This window comes from Homo sapiens, chromosome 22, assembly GCF_000001405.40.
Source record: "Homo sapiens chromosome 22, GRCh38.p14 Primary Assembly".
In the NCBI taxonomy this organism is placed as follows: domain Eukaryota; kingdom Metazoa; phylum Chordata; class Mammalia; order Primates; family Hominidae; genus Homo; species Homo sapiens.
In genome coordinates this window covers 41,576,706-41,598,002 of record NC_000022.11, presented here as the reverse complement: position 1 = coordinate 41,598,002, position 21,297 = coordinate 41,576,706, and the positions used below count along the sequence as shown (strand labels likewise).

At 54.6% G+C, this 21,297-nt stretch overlaps 1 protein-coding gene across 7 annotated transcripts, besides 3 other annotated features; it reads left to right on the top strand.

Moving 5' to 3' along the window:
• Positions 585-634: an enhancer, noted in NCBI's record as "active region_19122". NCBI's record gives its function as "activates an Ori minimal core promoter by ATAC-STARR-seq in GM12878 lymphoblastoid cells {active_cell/tissue: GM12878}" and the evidence as "EXISTENCE:reporter gene assay evidence [ECO:0000049][PMID:35858748]".
• Positions 7,815-7,964: a silencer, noted in NCBI's record as "silent region_13794". NCBI's record gives its function as "represses an Ori minimal core promoter by ATAC-STARR-seq in GM12878 lymphoblastoid cells {active_cell/tissue: GM12878}" and the evidence as "EXISTENCE:reporter gene assay evidence [ECO:0000049][PMID:35858748]".
• On the top strand, positions 8,163-21,103 carry PMM1 (phosphomannomutase 1). 7 transcript variants are annotated; one of them, XM_011530230.3, is made up of 9 exons: positions 8,163-8,284; positions 9,236-9,344; positions 11,810-11,927; positions 13,400-13,476; positions 13,631-13,722; positions 13,945-14,044; positions 19,122-19,197; positions 20,080-20,195; positions 20,563-21,103. In XM_011530230.3, exons 2-9 carry the CDS (start codon positions 9,243-9,245, stop codon positions 20,683-20,685), a joined length of 804 nt encoding a protein of 267 aa, XP_011528532.1. In that variant the 5' UTR covers positions 8,163-8,284; positions 9,236-9,242; the 3' UTR covers positions 20,686-21,103. The 7 variants fall into 7 exon arrangements, with proteins under 7 accessions (XP_011528532.1, XP_011528531.1, NP_002667.2 ...); XM_011530229.3 differs by lacking the exon at positions 13,631-13,722 and adding an exon at positions 8,840-8,951; NM_002676.3 differs by lacking the exon at positions 9,236-9,344.
• Positions 8,359-9,038: an enhancer, noted in NCBI's record as "H3K27ac-H3K4me1 hESC enhancer chr22:41984969-41985648 (GRCh37/hg19 assembly coordinates)". NCBI's record gives its function as "activates a minimal SCP1, AML or CMV promoter by ChIP-STARR-seq in naive H9 embryonic stem cells {active_cell/tissue: H9 hESC(naive)}" and the evidence as "EXISTENCE:reporter gene assay evidence [ECO:0000049][PMID:30033119]".
• Positions 21,104-21,297: the final 194 nt, after the last annotated feature.

Genomic DNA, 21,297 nt, shown 5'->3' with positions numbered 1-21,297 from the left:
GCACATGCATCCAACATGAAGCGACCCCAGGCTTTTGGGTCCCTTGGAGCTTAAGTCTGCGGGGTCTGGATGTGTCTCCTTTGCATGGTTGTGAGCCTGTAGATAAGAAGTGATAACAGGGAAGGATGTCTGAATTTCACCACTGGTTTATAAAGATGGGGGAAGGGCCCAGAGAGAATATCACTTGCCCAAGGTCACCTTGCAGCTGGTGCAGCTCAATGCTTTGTCTGATAACTTCAAATTCTGTAGTCTTCCTCTAGCTATCAGGAGTGTCTGACCTCACCGAAAAGTGTTCACTTCTACTTTCAACTTGGCTCTAGGTTGGGTCTGTGGCTCCTCATGCCCAGACAGGCTGTAGCTGAGAGGGCACGCAAGGAGCCTAGTGGGGGCCTGGCACACCACTGAATGTGAGCCCTTGACCACAGGGCCTGGCTGCTCTTGAAAGAGGCAGAGTGTGTCTGGGACGAGGCTGCCCCACTGGTTCCCAGGTTGGAGAGCCAGGCAAGGTCACGCTGCAGTGAGAGTGATGGATACCAGGTGGCGCTGTGGCCCTGCACACCAGGCCCAGCCTACTGCCCAACGCCCAATGCCAGGCTGGTCTTGGGTACCCTCGGCCACCTCAGTAAGCTCGTCCAGCTCCCCTCAGCCCGTGTGGACCCCTACGAGCCCATGGGGTAAGAGCCAAGCTCCTTGTCCTCATTTATCAAGGCCCTTCTCAATCTTGTCCTTGAACACCCTGGTCCTACCCCACACCCTGCTGCAAGTGCCAGTCCCAGTCCCTGTCACTTCTGGTGGTTTCACACCTCCAAGCCTCGGTTCACCCTTTGCTCCACCTGGATCCCCTTTCCCCACCCCTTGTTCAGTGCTAAAGGCCCAGTTCCAGCATGTCCTCTGACCTGTCCCCACCCAGAGCTGACTCCTTGCTCCCATGGGTACCTCCAACGCACTCCCACCAGCCCAGTACCTCCCAGGGCAGGGCCTGGCATGGGGTGAGCCCCAGATTTTGAGACCATGACAAAGGCCTTGGATCCTTTCTAAGTCCCTCCCAGTATGACTCCGCTCCCCACCCCTGGCTTGCAAGGTCAGGAGAGAGACTTGCCCAAGTTCTCACAGTTCTGGGCTGAGCTCTGACCTGCAGAGCCCACTGACCCCAGCTGTCAGGCTGCCGCTCCTGTTCCACACCCCCAGGTGGAACAGTGTTGTGGCCTGGGCCATATCTGTCCCCATTGACTTTGTCTGAGAGAGCCCCAGAGGGCCTGAGCCAACCCAGCAACAGCCTCCACCTCCTCCTACAAAGCCATCTGAGCATGCGCCCTTCAGCTTGTTTAGACTCAATGGACTTGCTTATTATGAAGACAATGTAAGCACTGCAGGCATTTTGAAAGTTAAAAAACAAAACAAAACAAAAAAACAGGCTAGGCGAGGTGGCTCACGCCTGTAATCCCAGCACTTTGGGAGGCCGAGGCAGGTGGATCACCTGAGGTCAAGAGTTCAAGACCAGCCTGGCCAACATGGTGAAACCCCATCTCTACTAAAAATACAAAAATCAGCTGGGTGTGGTGGTATGCACCTGTAATCCCAGCTACTTGGGAGGCTGAGGCAGGAGAATCACTTGAACCCACGAGGGAGAGGTTGGATTGAGCCAAGATTGTGAGATGGTGCCACTGCACTCCAGCCTGGGCAACAGATCTAAAAAAAAAAAAGAATTCCACAGTCTCCCCCAACCTCAGCACACAGCACACCTCCCCTGCTGCCCCTAGGCTTCTTAACTACACAGCCTTTAGGAGGGTGTTGACCCCATTTGTAAATGAACAACCACCTCACAGAGTGGGACGGACCTGCCCAAAGTCACTAGTGGGAGGAGAACTCCAGGAATTGTCAGCCTGCCTGTAAACCCCACTACACAGAGGCTGCCCCTTGGGCCTGGACCACCCATACACAACAAGTCACATACCAGGTACAGAAAAAGAGCATTGACAGCCCCGGTACTTGGACATACTGACACATGGCCTCCTACCAATAGCCAGGAGCCAGGGAAAAGCCTGGGTTTTGGCAAGACGGGATTGAGGAGGAATCTCGACTGTGCTGTGTGACCCTAGAAAAGCCGTTGCACCTCTCTGATGTCAGTACCTACCTCTGGAAATTGAGTATAAGGGTACTGTCTTCAGAGATGTGTTGGGAAAAATAAGTGAAATACCCAAACCAAACATGAAAGTCACTAACCTCCAAACTTCAGCCACACGTCTGGCCCAGAAGAGCCCAGGGTCTTCCCTTCATAGCAGAATCCTGCCAGGCTCAGGTCTCAGGCCCTCCACTTTCAGTCCTGGCTGCTTCTGGGTCCCTCCAAGTCACCTTTCTGTCCAGTCTTCCCTCCCACCAGTCCTGCTCTTTTCTCCCCAAGGCCTCCCCTGGTCCCCATCTGAGCACCAGTTGCCAGGGATAAGCCTTCCTCTTAAAGGGACATAGTGGTGGCCACAGGTACCCCCCTACCTGGTCCTCCTGGGTCTGTACCTCAGGGCAAATAACTCTCCCTCTCTGGGTTTCAGTGGCCTCATCATGTGGAAAGGGTTGTTATGAGAATTTACGGAGAGACTGTAGGAAAGGGATTTGTAAGCAGCAGCCCATTTGTTAAGGGGCCAAGGGTGCTTATCTCTGTTTTTAGAAAAGTAGATCCAGTCCATAGGAGACAAACACCCCTCCTGCCCAGTGGGCCACCTTCCAGATGTTCTGGATCCAAGCACTACGGGTAGGGCCCAGGAATTCGCACTTCATCTGTTTCTAGGAATTCTTCAGTCATGGAACAGGAAAATGAAGATACCTGGTCAAGTGTCCTGTGTGGTGGTCAGCCCATAGTAAAGGAATAAGCATCAGTTTGGTTTTTTTGTTTTGTTTTGTTTTGGTTTTTTTGACACAGAGTCTTGCTCTGTCACCCAGGCTGGAGGGCCGTGGTGCGATCTCGGCTCACTGCAACCTCTGGGTTCATGCGATGCTCCTGCCTCAGTCACCTGAGTAGCTGGGATTACAGGCATGCGCCACCACGCCCGGCTCATTTTTGTATTTTTAGTAGAGACGGGGTTTCACCATGTTGGTCAGGCTGGTCTCGGACTCCTGACCTCGTGATCCACCGCCTCGGCCTCCCAAAGTGCTGGGATTACAGGCGTGAGCCACCGCGCCGGCCGTGTTACAGTTCTTAAAGGTGGCGTGTCCGGAGTTTGTTCCTTCTGACGTTCGGATGTGTTCGGAGTTTCTTCCTTCCGGTGGCTTCGTGGTCGCGCTGGATCAGGAGTGAAGCTGCAGACCTTCGCGGTGAGTGTTACAGCTCTTAAGGCTGCCAGTCTGGAGTTATTCGTTCCTGCTGGTTGTGTTCGTGGTCTCACTGGCTTCAGGAGTGAAGCTGCAGACCTTCGCAGTGAGTGTTGCAGTTTATAAAGGCAGTGTGGACCCAAAGAGCGAAAGAACAAACCTTCCACGTTGCGGAAGGGGACCCCAGAGGGTTGCTACTGCTGGCTCCTGGCAGCCTGCTTTTATTCTCTTATCTGGCCCCCCACCCCCACCCCCGCCACCCCCCGCCCCCACCGCCCCCCCCACCCCCGCCACCACCCCCGCCCCCACCCCCACCCCCCCACCGCCTCCCCCACCCCCCCACCGCCTCCCCCACCCCCCCACCCACATCCTGCTGATTGGTCCATTTTACAGAGAGCCAATTGGTCTGTTTTACAGAGAGCTGATTGGTCCGTTTTGACAGGGTGCTGATTGGTGCCTTTACAATCCCTGAGCTAGACACAAAAGTTCTCCACGTCCCAACTAGATTAGCTAGTTACAGAGTGTGGACACAAAGGTTCTCCAAGTCCCCACCAGAGTAGCTAGACACAGAGTGTCGACTGGTGCATTCACAAACCCTGAGCTAGACAGGCTGCTGATTGGTGTGTTTACAAACCTTGAGCTAGATACAGAGTGCCGATTGGTGTATTTACAATCCCTTAGCTAGACATAAAGGTTCTCCAAGTCCCCACCAGACTCAGGAGCCCAGTTGGCTTCACCCAGTGCATCTTGTACCGGGGCTGCAGGTGGAGCTGCCTGCCAGTCCCGCGCCGTGCGCCCGTACTCCTCAACCCTTGGGTGGTCGATGGGACTGGGCGCCATGGAGCAGGGGGCGGCGCTCGCCGGGGAGGCTCTGTCTGCGCAGGAGCCCACGGCAGAGGGTAGGCTCAGGCATGGCGGGCTGCAGGTCCGATCCCTGCCCAGCGGGGAGGCAGCTAAGGCCCTGTGAGAAATCGAGCGCAGCGCCGGTGGGCCGGCACTGCTGGGGGACCCGGCGCACCCTCCACAGCTGCTGGCCCGGCTGCTAAGCCCTTCACTGCTCGGGCCGGCACGGCCTGCCGCTCTGAGTGCGGGGCCCGCCAAGCCCACGCCCACCCAGAACTCTAGCTGGCCCGCAAGCGCCGCTTGCAGCCCCGGTTCCCGCCCGTGCCTCTCCCTCCACACCTCCCCGCAAGCCGAGGGAGCCGGCGCCGGCCTCGGCCAGCCCAGAGAAGGGCTCCCACAGTGCAGCGGCGGGCTGAAGGGCTCCTCAAGCACGGCCAGAATGGGCGCCGAGGCTGAGGAGGCACCAAGAGTGAGCGAGGGCTGCTAGTACGCTGTCACCTCTCATCACCTTTCATAGTTCTATCACGTGGGGTTTATATCCTCATTACATATAAAGAAACTGAAGCCCAGTGAGGAAAGGTGACCTGTCCAAGTCCTTGTAGTTAGCCAGGACCAAACTGCAGTTCTCCTGATTCCAACTCCAATGATCTCTCCAGGACACCATAGCTACCCAGTCAGAAAAACAAGAATTGTGCCTGGGGATCTGGTGCGGTGGGTCAGGCCTGTAATCCCAACACTTTGGTCACGCCTGTAATCCCAACACTTTGGGAGGCTGAGTCGTGAGGACCATTTGAGGCCAGGAGTTTGAGAGCAGCCTGGACAAAATAGTGAGACCCTATTCTACACACACACGTGCACACGCACACAAACACAATGCAGATTTTCATGGCTTCGTAGCATTTCATCTTCTAGATGGGTCTTAGTTCATTTAAACAATTCCATATATTTTTCCTTTTTTCTATTTTCTTTTCTTTCTTTTTTTTTTGAGACGGAGTCTGCTCTGTTGCCCAGGCTGGAGTGCAGTGGCGTGATCTCGGTTCACTGCAAGCTCCGCCTCCCAGGTTCACACCATTCTCCTGCCTCAGCCTCCCAAGTAACTGGGACTATAGGCACCCGCCACCACGCCCAGCTAATTTTTTGTATTGTTAGTAGAGATGGGGTTTCACCGTGTTAGCCAGGATGGTCTCGATCTCCTGACCTCGTGATCCGCCCACCTCAGCCTTCCAAAGTGCTGGATTACAGGTGTGAACCACCGCGCTTGGCCTTTTTTTTTTTTTTTCCGAGTCAGAGTCTCGCTCTATGGCCCAGGCTGGAGTGCAGTGGTGTGATCTCGGCTCACTGCAAGCTCCGCCTCCCGGGTTCAAGGGATTCTCCTGCCTCAGCCTCCCGAGTCGCTGGGACTACAGGTGCCGCCACTACGCCTGGCTAATTTTTTGTATTTTTAGTAGAGACGGGGTTTCACCACGTTAGCCAGGATGGTCTCGATCTCTTGACCTTGTGGTCTGCCTGCCTTGGCCTCCCAAAGTGCTGGGATTACAGGCGTGAGCTACCGCGCTCAGCCTCTTTTCCTATTTTCTAAAAGTTGAATTGCTGACTCATATGATCTGCATCTTTTTTTTTTTTTTTCTTGAGACAGGGTCTCACTACTGTTACCCAGGCTGGAGTGCAGTGGGAAGATCTGGTTCGTTGCAGCCTCAGCTTCCTGGTGATTCTCCTACTTTAGCCTCCTGAGGGACCACAGGTGCCTGCCACCATGCCTGGCTAATGTTTTGTATTTTTAGTAGAGACAGCATTTTGCCATGTTGCCCAGGCTGATCTTGACCTCCTGGGTTCAAACAATCCACCCACCTTGGCCTCCCAAAGTGCTGGAATTACAGGTGTGAGCCACCGCATCCAGCTCTACAGTTATTTTTTATTTATTTAGTTAGTTAGTTAGTTAGTTAGTTTGTTTGTTTGAGGTGTAGTCTCCCTCTGTCTCCCAGGCTGGAGCGCAGTGGCATCATCTCGGCTCACTGCAACCACCGCCTTCCAGGTTCAAGTGATTCTTCCGCCTCAGCCTCCCAAGTAGCTGGGATTACAGGCTCCTGCCACCATGCCCGGCTAATTTTTGTATTTTTAGTAGAGACGGACTTTCCCCATGTTGGCCAGGCTGGTCTCAAACTCATGACCTCAGGTGATCTGCCCATCCCGGCCTCCCAAAGTGTTGGGATTACAGGCGTGAGCCACCGCGCCCAGCCTGTTACTTATTTTCATGTGAAAAGCAAACCTACAAAGCAGGTGGTGTTCATCCCATTTTATAGGTGAAGACACAAAGCCTCTGAGAGGTGAAGTGACTTGTCCAAGGTCCCATAGTGGTGGAGCTGGGAAGGCAACCTGGAAGTGACTCCAAAGTCAACGCAATGGTTAAATAATTGTGAATCGAATCTGGGAAGGTTGGCTGGGAACGGTGGCTCATGCCTGTATTCCCAGCACTTTGGGAGGCTGAGGCAGGCAGATCACCTGAGGCCAGGAGTTCGAGACCAGCCTGGCTAACATGGTGAAAATACAAAATTACTACTAAAAATAAAAAATTAGCCGAGCGTGGTAGTGGGTACAAAATAATCCCAGCTACTCGGGAGGCAGAGGTTGTGGTGAGCTGAAATCGTGCCATTGCACTCCAGCCTGGGCAACAAGAGCAAAACTCCGTCTCAGAAAAAAAAAAAAAATTAGCCGGGCGTGGTGGCGCACTTCTGTAGTTTCAGCTACTCAGGAGGCTGAGGCAGGAGAATCACTTGAACCTGGGAGGCGGAGGTTGCAGTGAGCCGAGATCATGCCACTGCACTCCAACCTGAGTAACAGAGTGAGACCCAGTCTCAAAAAATAAATAAATAAATAAATAAATCGCCCTGTGTCAAAAATAAAATAAAATAAACATAAAAGTAAGTAAAAATACAAAAATTAGGTGGGCATGGTGGCACACGCCTGCAGTCCCAGCTACTCGGGAGGCTGAGGCATGAGAACCGCTTGAACCTGGGAGGTGGAGGTTGCAGTGGGCAGAGATCCCGCCACTGCACTCCAGCCTGGGCAGAGCGAGACTCTGTCTCAAAAAAAAAAAAAAAAAAGAAGAATCTGGGAAGGTCTCCAAGCAGGTAGACCCTGAGAGCTGGGTCTTATGTGTGGACAGAAGGAATAAGGCTCGGGGAAGGCAATTTGGCAAAGTCCAAAGCCTGAACAAAGGCCTTCAGGAGATTTCTTTTCTTTTCTTTTCTTTCCTTTTTTTTTTTTTTTTTTTTTTTTGAGGCTGGAGTGCAATGGCGCGATCTCGGCTCACCGCAACCTCTGGCTTCTTTGGAATCAAGCGATTCTCCTGCCTCAGCCTCCTGAGTAGCTGAGATTACAGGCATGCGCCACCACGCCTGGCTAATTTTGTATTTTTAGTAGAGACGAGGTTTCTCCATGTTGGTCAGGCTGGTCTCGAACTCCCGACCTCCGGTGATCCGCCCGCCTCGACGTCCCAAACTGCTGGGATTACAGGCGTGAACCACCGCGCCCGGCTCAGGAGATTTCCTACAGCTCAAAATTTGTAAGGCAAAGAGATGGCCACAAACCTTGTGAGAGTGGATGGGGAGCGACCTCGGCTCTCTTAGTCCCGCCTGGCCCACTAGACACTGCACTGCATGGTAGAGGCCCCGCCCGACCCAGCCCCTTAATCGGCCTGTTGCAATCACTATCAACCCGCCAATTCTGGCCCCGCCCCTGTCTTCCGGGTTCACCCTCTCACTTCCTGCGGGTCCCAGGCTCAGGCCCCTCCTCCGCCTTGTTTGGAGCAATCCAATCGAACCTGGAGGGCTCCGCTCCGCCCTATGCCGCGCTCCCCTCCTCCACGAGCAATGAGAATCAGCTCAGGCCCCGCCCCCGCTTCCGCCCGCCTAGACCACGCCCCTTCTTCATTTGGCCAATCAGGCAGTCCACTGGCCCCCGCCCCCTAATGCCCCGCCCCGTCAGCACTTATCCCTGAGCTGCTTCTGCCGTTGCATCTTCGGGACTCCGCCCCGCGCGCGGACCTGCAGCCATGGCAGTCACCGCCCAGGCAGCCCGCAGGAAGGAGCGCGTCCTCTGCCTGTTTGACGTGGACGGGACCCTCACGCCGGCTCGCCAGGTAGGACCCTGAAGATTGGAAGCTCCCACCGGGAGTGTCACGCGGACACCCCCGAGGCTGAGTGTGGGGTCTGCAGCAGCGTGACCGTGGACACCCGGGGACCGAGTGTGGGATGCGGCGGTACCCGGCCCCCTGACATCCGGGGCCACCCACCGGGAGTGAGGGGACCTGGCCCTCACGTCACTGACCCCGCAGCGTCCTTGCCTGTGTTCTGCTTGGGAGTGCTGGGGTTGGATCCAGTACTGGAGGGAGGAGGCTGCGAGCAGGGGCCTAGCTCCCTCCCTCCCCGGAGGCTGTCACACGCCGCTAAGGCCTGGCTCACGGACGCCCCCGCCTCCTGAGCTGGGGATCCCACCCTAGTTCAGCCCTACGACACACCAGTGGTCGGAGCTGGCTTCTGAACCGGGGTTCCAGGCACACAAGCACACAGCCAAGCGTCAGTCATCATCTGGTGGGAGACAGGGCGTCTCGGAGTCTTCCCACCCCGACCTTTGCAGGCCTGGGACTGGGTCTAGTTTCTGAAGCCCCATCACCCACTTTACCTTCCACCCCCAGTCGTGGAGCAGAGAGGGCTTCTTTTCAAATTCGTTTATGAGCTCTACCCACCCGGATGTGAGAGGCTCCAGGCCTAGCCTGTTTGCTGTGAGGACACTGAGGAATAGTGAGGGTAAGAGTCTAGTTTTCTTCTAAAGACTCTCGCTGTGTTGAGCCTCTTACCTCTGCTCAGTTTTTCTCCCATTGGGTCTCATTGTGAGTGAGTCCCCAAAAGCCCCCTCACCAGCTGGATGCATCAGTAAGCAGGCTTCATTCATGCCCTCCCTGTGGGTAACCCACCCTCCAGTCTGGGGGCCTCAAGGACCAACCAACAGGTCTCCTAGCGTGGGGGAGCAGTGGGATGGGCTTTACTGGGCAGTGGCTGATGGGAACCCAGGTCTTAGCCTCCTCTCTTAGGTCCCGAATGCCCCTCCCCATCCTCTGTGGTGAAGTTGCCCTGGCTTGGGCCCTGGAGGCCTTCCTGCAGGGGTGGATCCGGGAGGAAGATAGCAGGACTGGAGCAAAGGTGGGCCATTTGCTTGTGGGTCACGCCTGTAATCCCAGCACTTTGGGAGGCCATGGTGGGCAGATCACCTGAGGTCAGGAATTCTAGATCAGTCTGGCTAACATGGTGAAACCCCGTCTCTACTAAAAATACAAAAATTAGGCTGGGTTCAGTGGCTCACGCCTGTAATCCCAGCACTTTGGGAGGCCGAGGCAGACAGATCACGATGTCAGGAGTTTAAGACCAGCCTGACCAATATCGTGAAACCCTATCTCTACTAAAAATACAAAAAATTAGCCAGGCGTGGTGGCATGCACCTGTAATCCTAGCTAGTCGGGAGGCTGAGGCAGGAGAATCACTTGAACCCGAGAGGCAGAAGTTGCAGTGAGCCGAGAATGTGCCATTGCACTACAGCCTGGGCGACAGAGGGAGACTCAGTCTCAAAACAAAACAAAACAAAAAGTAGATGGGCGTGGTGTCGTGTGCCTGTAGTCCCAGCTACTGGGGAGGCAGAGGCAGGAGAATCGATTGAACCCAGGAGGTGGAGGTTGCAGTGAGCCAAGATTGTGCCATTGCACTCCAGCCTGGGCAACAAGAGTGAAACTCCGTCTCAAACAAACAAATAAATGAATAAAAGAACTGGAACAAAAGTGGCAGGGCCTAGGCACAGTTCTGACTCCTCCCTCTGACCTTTTGCTCCACAAACATAACAACCTGAATAAGAACAGCCTATTAATTTGTCTACGGGCCAGCCTCTGTGCTTAGTGCCTTTTGAAAGTTAATTTTTAATCGTACACATTTTCATGAGCACACTCTCCTGGTAAAGAATGGAAACGTAACAGAGAAGGGTAAAGTCCACTCTGACCGCACTTGGGGAGCCTGGCCGGCTCCCCAAGTTAATGTGGTTACTGTGGTGTGGCTTCCCTCCAGGCCTTTATCTGGATCTATTTGCCCAGAGCAAATATTAAGCATTGTTTTGTGAGGCTATTTTTGTTATTGTTCTTTGGCTCCTCAAAAATCAACTTGATTGTGATGCTATTTTGTTGTTGTTGTTGTTAGAGACCGGGGTCTCACTCTGTCACTCAGTCTGGAGTGCAGTGGCGCTATCACAGCTCACTGCAGCCTCGAACTCCTGGGCTCAAGTGATTCTCCCGCCTCAGCTTCTGGAGTAGCTGGTAGCTGGGACTACAGGCAAGTGCCACCATGCCTGGCTAATATCTTTTTTTTTTTTTTTTTTTGGAGATGAAATCTCATTCTTGTCCCCCAGGCTGGAGTGCGATGGCATGATCTCGGTTCACTGCAACCTCCACCTCCCGGGTTCAAGGGATTCTCCTGCCTCAGCCTCCTGAGTAGCTGGGATTACAGGCGCTTGCCACCACGCCCAGCTAATTTTTTTTTCTTTTTTTTTTTGAGACGGAGTCTCGCTCTGTCGCCCAGGCTGGAGTGCAGTGGCGTGATCTCAGCTCACTGCAAGCTCTGCCTCCCAAGTTCACGCCATTCTCCTGCCTCAGCCCTCCCGAGTAGCTGGGACTACAGGCGCGTGCCACCACGCCCGGCTAATTTTTTTGTATTTTTTAGTAGAGACAGGGTTTCACCATGTTAGCCAGGATGGTCTCAATCCCCTGACCTTGTGATCCACCCGCCTCGGCCTCCCAAAGTGCTGGGATTACAGGCGTGAGCCACCGCGCATGGCCAATTTTTTTTTTTTTTTTTTTTTAATTTTTAGTAGAAACAGAGTTTCACCATGTTGGCCAGGCTGGTCTCGAACTCCTGACATCAAGTGATCCACCCTCCTGGGCCTCCCAAAGTGCTGGGATTACTGGTGTGAACCACCGTGCCAGCCCATGCCTGGCTAATTTTTAAAAACTTTCGGCCAGGCACGGTGGCTCACGCCTATAATCCCAGCACTTTGGGAGGCCCAGGCGGATGGATCACCTGAAGTCAGGAGTTCAAGACCAGCCTGGCCAACATGGCGAAACCCTGTCTCTACTAAAAATTTAAAACTTAGCTGGGCATGGTGGCAGGCGCCTGTAATCCCAGCTACTCGGGAGGCTGAGGCAGAAGAATCGCTTGAACCCGGGAGGCAGAGGTTGCAGTGAGCTGAGATCACGCCATCGCACTCCAGCCTGGGCAGAGGTTTCAGTGAGCCAGAATCACACCACTGCACTCCAGCCTGGATGACAGAACAAAAATTCGTCTCCAAAAAAATTTTTTTTTTCATAGAGACAATGTCTTCCTTTGCTGCCTAGGCTCTAGTCTCAAACTCCTGGGTCAAGTGATCTTTCTGCCTTGGCCTCGCAAAGTGTTGGGATTGCAGACCTGAGCCACAGTGTCCAACCTGTCTAATTTTTGGTGTCTAAGCTTTGTACTGCTTCAGATCCAGGTAGAATGTGGGCTTCCTGGGTTCTCAGCACTAAGTGAGGGCTAAGTGGAGGTCCCAGACATGTTGAAAGCCAGAATGCTATGCTTCCCCTCTCCCCCCATAGAAAATTGACCCTGAGGTGGCCGCCTTCCTGCAGAAGCTACGAAGTAGAGTGCAGATCGGTGTGGTGGGCGGCTCTGACTACTGTAAGATCGCTGAGCAGCTGGGTGACGGGGATGAAGGTAGGAGTGAGGCTGGGGGTAGAGGGAGTGGGGAGTTTGAGAGATTCCTGGGCGTCTTCAAAGATCCAGTCCTGCTTCTGTGGGGCAGAAGAAATAGAGAGAGAGCAGCCAGATAGTTCCCTTACTGATTTGACAAACACTTGAGCACTTCCTATTGCCAGGGATTGTGCCAGGCCCTTGAGAAATGGCTGGGGCAAAGCAAGCAGAACCTGCCCTTATGCAGTTTACATTCTCATTTCTCCCTGCTGAGTCTTGATTTCCTCATCTTTAAAATGGGCTGAACCAGCCGGCACAGTGGCTTACGCCTGTAATCCCAGCACTTTGGGAGGCCGAGGCGGATGGATCACTTGAGATGAGGAGTTCAAGACCAGCCTGGCCAACATGGTGAAACCCCGTCTCTACTAAAAATACAAAAAATTAGCTGGGTGTGTTGGCACGTGCCTGTAATCCCAGCTACTCGGGAGGCTGAGGCAGGAGAATCGCTTGAACCTGGGAGGCGGAGGTTGCAGTGAGCCAAGATCAGGCCACTGCACTCCAGCCTGGGTGACAGAGTGAGGCTACACATCCAAAAATAAATAAATAAATAAATAAATAAATAAATAAATAAATAAAAGGGCAGAACCAATGATGGCTACCATTTGTCAAAAATGATCATGTGTTAATGTCATTGCATTTGATCCCCACAATCACACTTTAGAGTAGGCGTGATCATCCCATTTAACAGAGGATGACTCTGAAGTTATCCAGGAAATCGACTGGACCTCAGAGCCCCTGGTCTCAGCCCAGTCAAAGTGGGTGCCTCCAGTTCCTCAAGCCAGAAACTTCCTCGAATTTTTCCTTTTCCCCACCTCTTGTTTATTCCATCAGCAAACCCCAAAATATCTCCCTGTCCCCTCTGTCTCCATCTCCACCACGCCATCATAGTCCAGGTAACCACGTGCCACCCAGACCCCGCAACAGCCTCTGGGCTGTGCTCCCTGTGCCTCCCACCTCCCACCCACTCCAACTGCTTCGCCTGGCAGTCAGAGCTGAAACCTCCAACTCTCCCATGCAGCCAGCCTTGAGAACCCAGTGCGATGGCAGCTATAGAACAGAAGGGAGCCCCTCTGCAGAGGGGCAGGGGAGCACAGAGTGGAAATGATGCCCTCTGCCAGAGAGTACTGCATGGCTTCCAGAGGAGGAAGCTGAATCTTGGAGGATGAGTGGCAGGGAAGCCAGGGAAGGGCGGTTCTGACAGAAGGACCTGCATGGATGCCTGTGTGCAGAGGCCCACAGGTGTGACTGGCTTCTTTGGAAGAAAACCAAGCTGCAGAGGGAGAAAGGCTGGAGAAGCAGGTTGTAGCCTCAGATTGAACAAATGGCCTTTGAATGTGAAACCAAGGGTGTAGGCTTCCTCTCTCTTTACTTGCCCGTGGGGTCACAGACGTGGTCTCACACTCTTTCTTCCTCCTGTCCTCTATGTGACCCTGAAGTCATTGAGAAGTTTGATTATGTGTTTGCCGAGAACGGGACGGTGCAGTATAAGCACGGACGACTGCTCTCCAAGCAGGTCAGTGTCCCCCAGGGCTTAGCCAGGGGCACCCCACTTTTCCATAGTGGAGCAGTCCAAGGGGGCTTCTGTCCTGGGCTGGGGGAGAGACACTGTGCCTGTCTCAGGGTCAGGCAGCCCAGGCCACGCTCAGAGCCCTGTGTTCCTTGGCCAGACCATCCAGAACCACCTGGGGGAGGAGCTGCTGCAGGACTTGATCAACTTCTGCCTCAGCTACATGGCCCTGCTCAGGCTGCCCAAGAAGCGGTGAGGTCCCACCAGCCTGGTCTCCAGAACCTGGGGCCTGAGGGAGGAGAAGTGTGGGTCCCTCAGAGGGAACCTGGAGATACTTGGGCCCCTGATTTTTTGCGGGGAGTGTGGATTCTTGTCCCCTTTGAAGTCCTAGGAGGCTGGGGTCCCAGGTGGGGCTAGATTTGAATTCAGGGCCGTTCTGGTTCTCTCTGGCTCCCCGCCCTCCCTCACCACCAGTGGAACCTTCATCGAGTTCCGGAATGGCATGCTGAACATCTCGCCCATCGGCCGGAGCTGCACCCTGGAGGAGAGGATCGAGTTCTCCGAACTGGACAAGGTACCACTAGCTATGCAATCTTAGGCCTGTAGGGCCTCAGTCACTCAATTTATCTGAGCCTTTATTTTCTCATCAGTAAAATAGACTGGGGGATGTGTTCTGATTTAACTGATACCCTTTCAGGCACCTACTGTGTGCCATTGTTGTAGACACACCTGCATCTTTACAATGCTGCTGGTCCCCCTTCCTAGGTGACCAGCACCAGGCAGCCACCCACTGAGCCAGGCCAACACCTGGGAACATCATTTCCACCTTCCCACCCACATCGGGTCCAACAACTCTTATTTCATCAGCCTCTCGAGTCAGTGTCAAATCTGTTCATCTGCAGAACTGAGACCCCACTTTCTAGATTACCCCTTTCCCCAGCCCCAGGCTGCCCCAACTTTCCTCTCTGTCCCTCCCTACCCCTTGCATAGCCCTGCCAGCCTGCTCTCCAGCAATGCCACTGAGAACCTTTCTTTCTTTTTCTTTTTGGAGATAGAGTCTCCAAAAAAATAGATAGAGGCTGGAGTGCAGTGGCATGATCTCAGCTCACTGCAACTCCCACCTCCCGTGTTCAAGCGATTCTCCTGCCTCAGCCTCCCAAGTAGCTGGAATTACAGGCATGCACCACTACACCCAGCTAATTTTTGTACTTTTTTAGTAGAGGCAGGGTTTCACCACGTTGGCCAGGCTGGTCTCGAACTCCTGACCTAAGGTGATCCGCCTGCCTCGGCCTCCCAAAGTTCTGGGATTACAGGCATGAGCCACCACGCACAGCCCATTAGAACCTTTCAAACATGTCAGCCGCATTCACCCCCCAGCCCCACCCCCTCATTTACAATCCTTCCTTGGCTCCTCGTTGCCAACTGGATGATGTCCTAGCCCCCTGCTATGGTGCCTCAAGCCCTGAGGGCTCTGTCTGGCTCTGGCTCTCCGCGTCTCCTTTCTATGCCCTTCAAGTTCCACTTTCTATTCCTGGAACACACCAAGGTCCTCTCACCTCTGCCTGTACTGCCCCTGCTAAACCTTGATGTGCATTTTGCTTTTCTCCCCACCGCCTCCCTCCCTCTCGGGGATGGAGCAATCCACCCATCCAGACCTTTCCATGCTGGCCCGTCCACGTCATTCTGTCATTCTCTCTGACCTGTTCGGTGGCTCTCCCTGCCCTCTGCTCCAGCTATGGCCTCTTGGCTGATTCTAGAGTGCTGTGCCTCTGTCAGAGCACACTTCTCTCAGGCCCAGCTCGTCCCTCCCCTCCTTCAAATCCCCTTTCACATCCTTTTCCCAGTGGGGCCTCCGAGAGTATCACATCCACTGCTGCACTTCCTCCTCCTTCCCCTACCTTATTTCTCCCCAAGTAGCCTTGGACAACTTTCATCATCTACTTTTAAAATCCGAATTACTGTCTGTCCCTGTCCCAGAACTGTAAGCTCCATGAGGGATTTCTGCGGCTTGTTCTCCTCTGGATCCCCTATGCTTGGCACATGGCATACTTTTTGTTGTTATTGTTTTTGAGACAGGGTCTTACTCTGTTGCCCAGTCTGGAGTGCAGTGCAGTGATCCAGTCCTAGCTCACTGCAGCCTCGATCTCTCAGGCTCAAGCGATCCTCACACCTCAGCCTCCTGAGTAGCTGGGACCACAGGTGCATTACACCATGCCAGGCTAATTTTTAAAATATTTTGTAGGGATGGGATCTCGCTGTGTCTCCCAGGCCAGTTTTGAACTCCTAGCCTCAAGTGGGCCTTCTCCCTCAGCCTTCCAAAGCACCAAGACTGTAGGTGTGAGCCACCGCACCTCGCAAAGAAATACCCTTTTTTGTTTTTTTTTTTTTGGAGACTGAGTTTCGCTCTGTCACCCAGGCTGGAGTGCTGTGGCACAATCTCGGCTCACTGCAACCTCCACCTCCCGGGTTCAAACAATTCTTCTGCCCCAGCCTCCCAAGTATCTGGGACTACAGGCACATGCTGCCACGCCCGGCTAATTTTTTTTTTTTAGACAGAGTCTTGCTCTGTCACCAGGCTGGAGTGCAGTGGCACAATCTCGGCTCACTGGAACCCCTGACTCGCTGGTTCAAGCGATTCTTCTGCCTCAGCCTTCCCAAGTAGCTAGGATTACATGCACCACAATGCCCAGCTAATTTTTTGTATTTTTAGTAGAGACGGGGTTTCACCATGTTGGCCAGGATGGTCTCGATCTTCTGACCTCGTGATCCGCCTGCCTCAGCCTGCCAAAGTGCTGGGATTACAGGCGTGGCCACTGTGCCCGGCCTAATATTTTGTATTTTAGTAGAGATGGGGTTTCACCGTGTTGCCCAGGCTGGTCTCGAACTCCTGAGCTCAGGCAATCCACCCACCTCAACCTTCCAAAGTGATTATAGGTGTGAGCCACTGTGCCCGGCAAGAAATACCTTTTGAATGAATGAAATGAGCTGTATTATCTCCATTTTATAAATGAGGAAACCAAGGCTCGATGAGAAGGGCCCTGCCCGAGGTCACATAGGGAGTTGGTTGCAGAGCAAAGATTTGATTTTGCCATTGGCCCTCTGGTGCCTCCCTGAGGGTGCCTCTCAGCTCAGTGACTCCTGACTCCCACCTGTGCCCTGAGGCTTAGGGGAGGCAGTGCCCACAGGCACAGGGACTTTTTTTTTTTTTCTTGATAGAGTCTTGCTCTGTCACCCAGGCTGGAGTGCAGTAGCATGATCTCAGCTCACTGCAACCTTCGCTGCCTAGGCTCAAGCAATTCTCCTGCCTCAGCCTCCTGAGTAGCTGGGATTACAGGCCCATGCCACCACACCTGGCTAAGTTTTTTGGTTTTGGTTTTGGTTTTGGTTTGGTTTTGGGTTTTTTTTTTTTTTTTTTTTTTGAGATGGAGTCTCACTCTGTCGCCAGGCTGGAGTGCAGTGGTGAGATCTCGGCTCGCTGCAACCTCTGCCTCCCGGGTTCAAGCGATTCTCCTGCCTCAGCCTCCCAAGTAGCTGGGACTACAAGCGCCTGCCACCACGCCCAGCTAATTTTTGTATTTTTAGTAGAGACAGGGTTTCACCATGCTGGCTAGGATGGTCTCGATCTCTTAACCTTGTGATCCGCCCTCCTTGGCCTTCCAAAGTGCTGGAATTACGGGCATGAGCCACCGCGCCCGGCCTAATTTTTGTATTTTTTAGTAGGGACAGGGTTTTGCCATGTTCAGGCTGGTCTCAAATCCCTGGCCTCAAGTGATCTGCCTACCTTGGCCTCCCAAAGTGCTGGGATTATAGATGTGAGCCGCTGCGCCCGGCCACGGGGACTTTTTTTTTGGGGTAGTTAGGATTGGTCTTAGGCAAAGAACCCTTCCCCCCCAATACACGTGCTGAGAAGTTATCCCTTCCTGTCCACCCAGGTTCCCAGTCCCAGCTCTACCCATTTGCCTTGTAACCTGGAAAAGCATCTTTACTAACGTGTGCCTCAGTTTCCTTATGTGTAAGGTGGGGGTAATAGCAGTTCCCATCCCATGGGCTGTCATGAGCACTGGATGAGGTGGCACATGGACCCCACCTGGCATGGAGTTGGGGAGCCACACCCTAACTCCCCACCCCAGAGCCTTCTCAAGTATTTTTGGCTCTTGTTTGCTCCCTTCTGGCACTGGAGGAGCATGAACCTTCCTGATCTGTGCGCCCTGCCCTGGCCCAGAGCTGGTGTAAATAAATGCTTAACCCAGCTCATCTTCCAGAACCCTGAAGCGGGGATGAGTACTTCCCTTCCTTAGATGAGGACACTGAGGCCAGAGGGTGAGTAACCAGCTCGAGGTCACAGTGCCGGTCCCTGCTGAGGCTGGCCTTGCACATGGGGCTGTCTAGTGACCAGCCTTGTTCTCCAGAGAAGGGAGGTGCAGCCAGCCTCGGCCATGTGGAAACATTTCTTCAGAGCCTGGGGCAGTCTTAGTGGTAGCCCTGGGCCTACAGAGTGGACGCTGGTGGGGACTCTGGCCTCCCTGGGGCCCACCTACCTGCTGGAAAGCCAGGCCAAGGCTGGCAGGGGGCTCACATCCCTTATCTCTGCTTTTCCATGAGAGGGAAGCAGGCAGGGGTCATTCATTACTTCTCTGTCCTTTAGTCCAGGAAATAGGCTCAGAGAGGTCAGGTGACTTGCCCATGGTCACACAGCTGAGGAGTACAGTAGCCAAGCCTGGCTACTTGCCTTCAGATCTCAGGCTAGGGGGTGTCTGGCTTTATATCTGACATCCTCCCTGGGCCACTTCTCCAAGCTCCATGCTGCTGACCACTGCCTGCCTTTCCGCCCCAGTCCTACCCGGCTCTGACTACAGGGCCATACCAGCCACCCCACTCCTGTGCTCCAGAATCCTCAGCGCCTCTTGGTCCCCCAGGATGTGGTCAGACTTCCCAGCCCGGTCTCGAGACCCTCTGTCAGCTGAATGTCCTGCTGGCTGGTTTAGATGTTCAGCTGCCCCTCAGACTGGGCATAGCTGCTCCCCTTTGTGGCCCTCTGAGATGGAGATCCTGGGGGCTGGCGGGGAGAATGTCCCCCTGCTCCACGTTTGCGGAGCTGCTGCCAGAGTTCCTGCTCAGAGGGACGGGGCCGGCCTGGGCACTACCTAGTCCCCAGCCCAGCCGCGTCTTTGCATGCTGGGTGCTCTGCCATGCCTGGCATCCTGCTGCCCTCTGTGAATGCCCACAGCCACCTCCTCACAGGTCTCCTGCTCTCAGCTCCCATGCTCATTTCTGAGTATTTGCTTTGTTGAGCTGGTTACAGATAACAGGATCGAGCCCTGCCCTGAGGTGGACACTGATGTGGGATCCAGATTGCCCCGTCTCCTCGCCCTTCCTACTCGTGTCTCTCCTCTGAGGTCTCCTTCAGAAGACCCAGCCCACAGCCCCATTGGCAGCCCCATCCCTTCTGGATTTAGGCCCTGGCTCTGCCACCAGGGCTAGGTGACCTTGACCAAGGCACAACCCCTCTCTGAGCCTTAGTTTGCGCATCTGCACAGTTGGGGGTCCTACCCACCTAGAATGCTCAGCACGCTCACGTGGACTGTGTGCCCAGCCAGGGCCTGGCACACAGCAGGTCCTCTGAGCTGCCATCCGCTCCCTCCCCTCTGCAGAAAGAGAAGATCCGGGAGAAGTTCGTGGAAGCCCTGAAAACAGAGTTTGCTGGCAAAGGGCTGAGGTTCTCTCGAGGTACGTCCACCCTGCAGAGGACCTGGGAGGCCTGGTACAGGGCCCCTCCTCAAACCATCTGCCCCTGCCAAGACCAGGCTGTGGCCCCCAGTAGCTTTAGTAGCCCCTCCCCGGCTCAGGGCAGAGAGGGTGGCTGAGCCCGATGCAGAAAGGGGTTCAGTGTTTACTGGCCCCCAGTTTTCCCCACCTCATACCTCAGAGGTAAACGCCCCATGCCCACCCAGTTTCTCAGGCCAAAAAACCAGAGCCTCTCCCTTGAATGCTCTCCCCCACCCCTTCCCAAGTCCAAACTCCTAGAAGTCACAGGGCCCCCTGTCTGGAATCCCACCGGTGCTCACACTTCCACTGCCAGCAGCTTGTCCCAGGCTCCAACTGACCCTGACACAACTGGGCTCCCCTCTGCCACCTCACCCATTCCCCAGTGGCCAGAGAGGCTGGAGCTGGAGTCATGACATGCCTCTGCCCAAAGTCCTCCCCAGGCTCTTCCTCCCTCTCCATGTGATGCCCAGGGCCTGCCCGTCCTCCCCCTACCTCTCCTGGCCTCCTCCGTTGCTGGGACGCTCGTTCTCTTCCCTGCCTCAGGGGCTGTACTTTGCGCCCCAGCCATCCCCACTCGGCTCAGGTCCCAGCTCATTGCCACCTCCTCAGAGGTCTCCCCTGATCACCCTGGCCGGATGAGCTTCCCCCACCCACTTCATGGTCTTGTTCATTCTCCAACCTGTGTCATAACTTCCTTGAGGATCCTAAGTCTGTCCCGTGTCCTATTCCTGGCCCTCAGTAGGCACTCAAGGGTTGTTGAATGAATGAATGAACAAGCAGCCCTTCTGTTAGCCTTGTCTGCCCCTCCCAGCAGGGAATAACAGTCCCCACCCCTGCCCACAGGAGGCATGATCAGCTTTGACGTCTTCCCCGAGGGCTGGGACAAGCGCTACTGCCTGGATAGCCTGGACCAGGACAGCTTCGACACCATCCACTTCTTTGGGAACGAGACTAGCCCTGTGAGTGTGGCCCACCCCAGGTTTCCCCTAACGCAGTGGACAGTGAGAAGCCAGGTCTGGTGGCTTCTCCAATGCAAATCACCTGAGGTCAAGGCCAGAACATGGGGCAACACAACAGACCTCTTAGGGGGCTCCTGGAGAACAACCATTGCTCACCAGCCCCGTTACACAGATTGGAAAGCTGGGGCCCCAAGAGGCTGGGCACTTGTTCTACATCACACAGCAAGTCAGGGCAGGTCTGACAAGGGGTGAGAAGGTGGGCTTCCTGGCAGTTCTGAAGGGGCAGGAGGAGGGGCAGGTCCGTAGCAGCCAATGTGGAGAGGGACTCCACCTAAATATCCCTCCTCTGCCCATCCTCTGTGTGCAGGGTGGGAACGACTTTGAGATCTTTGCCGACCCCCGGACTGTTGGCCACAGCGTGGTGTCTCCTCAGGACACGGTGCAGCGATGCCGGGAGATTTTCTTCCCAGAGACAGCTCATGAGGCGTGACCGGGGCCCACATCTGTGTGTCGTGACTTCTGAAGAGTTTGGCCTAGGCCTAAAGAGAGGTCCTGGTGTTGGATAGATGCCAGGGCCCCTCCTCTGGCCCAGGACGCCTGCTGCAAGCCCACCCAGATGGGGCCAGAGTCTGTGTGGACAACCGTCCCCAGCCAGTCTGCTCCTAGTGGCACTGGCTTCGTCCTCCCAGGGCCCAGAGTGTTCCCCATGCTCCACCTGGTGGCCCAGGCCACAGCTGCTGCTTGTATTTCGGTACAGAAGAGGTTTCTTTCTGCACCAGGAGGAGGCGTGCTCAAGTATCGGTACGAGATCTAGCCTGCCCTGCCTGCCTGCCCTGGGCGATGAGGTACGGTGGGGAAGGTGCCTATTTTAGAGAACTTTGTCACAGTATTAAAGTTCCCAGAACAAAGTAGGTGTCAGCTGTGTCTGAATGGATAATTGGCCCCAGTCACATGCTGTCACAGCCACTACTTTGCCGACAAGTAAACAGCACAGAGAGGGCAGGGACTTGGCCCAGGTCACAAAGGAAGTCTGATGCAGTCGAGGAGGGGGCCATTGAATCCCCAAAGAAGAGCTGGTTTGGTGTGTCCACCCCCAGCCCCT

Bases quoted from the DNA above. Each gene is read 5' to 3' on its own strand.
- PMM1 (XM_011530229.3), top strand. From the start codon at position 8,198: ATGGCAGTCACCGCCCAGGCAGCCCGCAGGAAGGAGCGCGTCCTCTGC. The intron at 9,345-11,809 runs GTGGGCCATTTG...CTCCCCCCATAG, and splicing joins ATAGCAGGACTGGAGCAAAG to AAAATTGACCCTGAGGTGGC. The intron at 13,477-13,944 runs GTCAGTGTCCCC...CCTCACCACCAG, and splicing joins GACGACTGCTCTCCAAGCAG to TGGAACCTTCATCGAGTTCC.